Source organism: Homo sapiens, chromosome 8 (assembly GCF_000001405.40).
Source record: "Homo sapiens chromosome 8, GRCh38.p14 Primary Assembly".
Taxonomy (NCBI): Eukaryota; Metazoa; Chordata; class Mammalia; order Primates; family Hominidae; genus Homo; species Homo sapiens.
In genome coordinates this window covers 82,287,471-82,292,631 of record NC_000008.11, presented here as the reverse complement: position 1 = coordinate 82,292,631, position 5,161 = coordinate 82,287,471, and the positions used below count along the sequence as shown (strand labels likewise).

At 37.3% G+C, this 5,161-nt stretch overlaps 1 pseudogene; it reads left to right on the top strand.

Annotated features, from left to right (window-relative positions):
• On the top strand, positions 241–1,720 carry HNRNPA1P4 (heterogeneous nuclear ribonucleoprotein A1 pseudogene 4; annotated as a pseudogene).

Here is a 5,161-nt window from a genome sequence, read left to right as displayed (position 1 = left end):
CAGAAATACAAAAGATCATTCAAGGTCATTATGAACATTTACATGCATAAACTAGAAAACCTAGAAGAGACGGATAAATTCCTGGAAAAATACAACTTTCCTAGCTTAAATCAGGAAGAATCAGATACCCTAAACAGACCAATAACAAGTACTGAGATTGAAATGGTAATTTAAAAATTCCCAACAAAAAAAAGTCCAGGACCAGATGGATTCGCAGCAGAATTCTACCAGACATTCAAAGAAGAATTGGATGCAGCTATGAATGCAAGGCCACACAAGGTGGATGGAAGAGTTGTGGAACCAAAGAGAGCCGTCTCAAGAGAAGATTCTCAAAGACCAGGTGCCCACTTAACTGTGAAAAAGATATTTGTTGGTGGCATTAAAGAAGACACTGAAGAACATCACCTAAGAGATTATTTTGAACAGTATGGAAAAATTGAAGTGATTGAAATCATGAGTGACCGAGGCAGTGGCAAGAAAAGGGGCTTTGCCTTTGTAACCTTTGACGACCATGACTCCGTGGATAAGATTGTCATTCAGAAATACCATACTGTGAATGGCCACAACTGTGAAGTTACAAAAGCCCTGTCAAAGCAAGAGATGGCTAGTGCTTCATCCAGCCAAAGAGGTCGAAGTGGTTCTGGAAACTTTGGTGGTGGTCGTGGAGGTGGTTTCAGTGGGAACGACAACTTTGGTCATGGAGGAAACTTCAGTGGTCATGGTGGCTTTGGTGGCAGCCATGGTGGTGGTGGATATGGTGGCAATGGGGATGGCTATAATGGATTTGGTAATGATGGAAGCAATTTTGGAGGTGGTGGAAGCTACAAGGATTTTGGCAATTACAACAATCAGTCTTCAAATTTTGGACCCATGAAGGGAGGAAATTTTGGAGGCAGAAGCTCTGGCCCCCATGGTGGTGGAGGCCAGTACTTTGCAAAACCACGAAACCAAGGTGGCTATGGCGGTTCCAGCAGCAGCAGTAGCTATGGCAGTGGCAGAAGATTTTAATTAGGAAACAAAGCTCAGCAGGAGAGGAGAGCCAGAGAAGTAACAGGGAAGCTACAGGTTACAACAGATTTGTGAACTCAGCCAAGCACAGTGGTGGCAGGGCCTAGCTGCTACAAAGAAGACATGTTTTAGACAAATACTCATGTGTATGGGCAAAAAACTCGAGGACTGTATTTGTGACTAATTGTATAACAGGTTATTTTAGTTTCTGTTCTGTGGAAAGTGTAAAGCATTCCAACAAAGGGTTTTAATGTAGATTTTTTTTTGCACCCATGCTGTTGATTGCTAAATGTAATAGTCTGATCGTGACACTGAATAAATGTCTTTTTTTTTAATGTGCTGTGTAAAGTTAGTCTACTCTGAAGCCATCTTGGTAAATTTCCCCAACAGTGTGAAGTTAGAATTCCTTCAGGGTGATGCCAGGTTCTATTTGGAATTTATATACAACCTGCTTGGGTGAAGAAGCCATTGTCTTCGGAAACCTTGGTGTAGTTGAACTGATAGTTACTGTTGTGACCTGAAGTTCACCATTAAAAGGGATTATCCAAGCAAAATCATGGAATTATTGGTTATAAAAGTGATTGTTGGTACATCCTATGCAATATATCTAAATTGAATAATGGTACCAGATAAAATTATAGATGGGAATGAAGCTTGTGTATCATCCATTATCGTATGTAATCAATAAACGATTTAATTCTCTTGAAAAAAAAAAAGAATTAGTGCCAATCCTACTGACACTATTCCACAAGATAGAGAAAGAGGGGAGCCTCCCTAATTCATTCTATGAAGCCAGCATCACCCCAATGCCAAAACCAGGAAAGGACATAACCAAAAAAGAAGACTACAGACTGATATTCCTGATGAACATAGATGCTGAAATCCTTAACAAAATACTAGCTAACCGAATCCAACAACATATCAAAAAGATAATCCACAAGTGGGTTTCATACCAGTGATTCAAGGATGGTTTAACATATGCAAGTCAATAAATGTGACATATCACATAAACAAAATTAATAACAAAAATCACATGATCATTTCCATAGATGCAGAAAAAAGCATTCAACAAAATCCAGGATCCCTTTATGATTAAAACTGTTGGCAAAATCAGCATACAAGTGATATACCACAATGTAATAAAAGCCATCTATGACAAACCCCCAGCCAACATGATACTGAGTGCGGAAAAGTTGAAAGCATTCCCTCTGAGAACTGCAACAAGACAAGGATGCCCACTCTCACCAGTCATCTTCAACACAGCACTGGAAGTCCTAGTCAGAGCAATCAGACAAGAGAAATAAATAAACGGCATCCAAATCGGTAAACAGGAAGTCAACCGGTCACTGTTTGCTGATGATATAATCATTTACCTCAAAATCCCTAAAGATTCCTCCAGAAAGCTCCTAAAACTGATAAAAGAATTCTGCAAAGTTTCTGGATACAAAATTAATGTACAAAAATTAGTAGCTTTTCTATACACCCATAGCAACCAAGCAGAGAATCAAATCAAAAAATCATCCCCTTTTACAATAGCTGCAAAAATATAAAATTCTTAGGAATACACCTAACCAAGGAGTTGAAAGACATCTACGAGGAAAACTACAAAACACTGCTGAAAGAAATCAAAGATGACAGAAACAAATGGAAACACTTCCCATGCTCATGGATGGGTAGAATCAATATTGGGAGAATGACCATACTACCAAAAGCAATCTACAAATTCAACACAATCCCCATCAAAATAACACCATCAGTCTTCACAGAATTAGAAAAACAACTCCAAAATTCATAAGGAACCAAAAAAGAGCCCACATAGCCAAAGCAAGACTAAGCAAAACAACAAATCTGGTGGCATCACACTACCGGATTTCAAACTATACCATAAGGCCATTGTCACCAAAACAGCACGGTACTGGTATAAAAATATGCACATAGACCAATGGAACAGAATAGAGAACCCAGAAATAAACCTAAATACTTAACAGCCAACTGATCTTCAACAAAGCAAACAAAAACATAAAGTGGGGGAAAGAACACATTTCAACAAATGGTACTGGGATAATTGGCTAGCCACACGTAGGAGAATGAAACTGTATCCTCATCTCTCACCTTATACAAAAATCAACTCAAGATAGATTAAGGAATTAAATCTAAGACCTGAAACTATAAAAATTCTAGAAGACAACATTGGAAAAACCCTTCTAGACATTGACTTAGGCAAAGATTTCATGACCAAGAACCCAAAAGCGAATGCAATAAAAACAGAGATAAATATCTAGGACTCAAACTAAAGAGCTTTTACACGGCAAAAGGAACAGTCAGCAGAGTAAATAGACAAACCACAGAGTTGGAGAAAATCTTCACAATCTGTACACTGACAAAGGACTAATATTCACAATCTACAATGAATTCAAACAAATCAGTAAGAAAAATACAAACTATCCCACCAAAAAGTGGGCTAAGGATGTGAATAGACAATTCTTAAAATAAGATATACAAATGGCCAACAAACATGTGAAAAAATGTTCAACATTGCTAATGATCAGGGAAATGCAAGTCAAAACCACAATGTGATACCACCTTACTCCTGCAAGAATGGCCATAGTAAAAAAAATCAAAAAACAGATGTTGGCATGGATGCAGTGATCAAGGAACACTTCTATGCTGCTGGTGGGAATGTAAGCTAGTACAACCACTATGGAAAACAGTGTGGAGATTCCTTAAAGAACTAAAAATAGAACTACCATTTGATCCAGCAATCCCACTCCTGGCTATCTACCCAGAGGAAAAGAAGTCATTATATGAAAAAGATACTCTCACATGCATGCTTATAGCAGCAAAATTCGCAGCTGCAAAATCGTGGAACCAACACAAATGCCCATCAATCAACAAGTGGATAAAGAAACTGTGATATATAGATGATGGAATACTACTCAGCCATAAAAAGGAATAAATTAACAGCATTTGCTGTGACCTGGATGAGATTGGATGAAATTGGAGACTATTCTAAGTGAAGTAACTCAGGAACAGAAAACCAAACATCGTATGTTCTCACTGATATATGGGAGCTAAGCTATGAGGACGCAAAGGCATAAGAATGATACAATGGACTTTGAGGACTTGGGGGAGAGTGGCCTAGGGGCGAGAGATAAAAGACTACAAATAGCGTGCAGTTTATACTGCTCAGGTGATGGGTGCACCAAAATCTCACAAATCACCACTAAAGAACTTACTCATGTAACCAAACACCACCTGTACCCCAATAACCTATGGAAAAAAATAATTTAATCATGAATCACAAAATCAATTAACTATGGTTGCCAGGTATTTAACATAAAGGAGGAAAGGGGGCCTCCTGTAAGAATTCTGCTGCTAGTATAATCATATTTTGTTCTTTGTTCTGCAGCTGACACTTTGTCTCATTGTCAGGAAAACTCAAAGGATTAGGTTACTGAAACAGAATATCCTACATCAAGGAGGTAGCAACTCTTTAGCTCCATCTGATAATGTCTACACAGAGATGGAGTCTTTGTTGCTGAGCTATCCCAATTCTTACCAGAAGCTGGAAATCCAGATTTTTTTTTTGAATTCCCAGTTTAAAATTTTTAACAATGCAGAATACAAACAAAAGATATATCCAGGCAAAATATAGCCTTCTGACCGTGGTATCTCTATACTACACAGATAAAGTCTGTGTTAAAAATGGTATGGAAATACCTGATTTAAGTTAGTAAAATTTCAAATATAAGCTGGTTTTCTTAATATACATGTGAAACACTGAAATTTGTATATGGTAATATAGTGGAAAGATTATCAGTCTGGGTTTGAAAAGACCTATACTTTCATCCTTATATTACTTAATAAATTTATGAACAGTATTTACTCATCATCTATAAGAATAAAACAAGAAACACAAGATACTTGGGAAGTTATAGTATACTAAAATCCATGAAATTATAACTAAATTGTATTGGTAATAATGTTAATTTGAAATCAGTAACTTCAATGTAGTTCTTTATAATTCATATCATTGTGTATATGGTCTATAAAGAAGTATACAGTAAAAATTCATCTTCTCTCCTGACCCTTCGATTTAATGAGCAGCCTCCCATTCCGCCTCAGCACTTCATGAAGATAGACAAAAATTGGG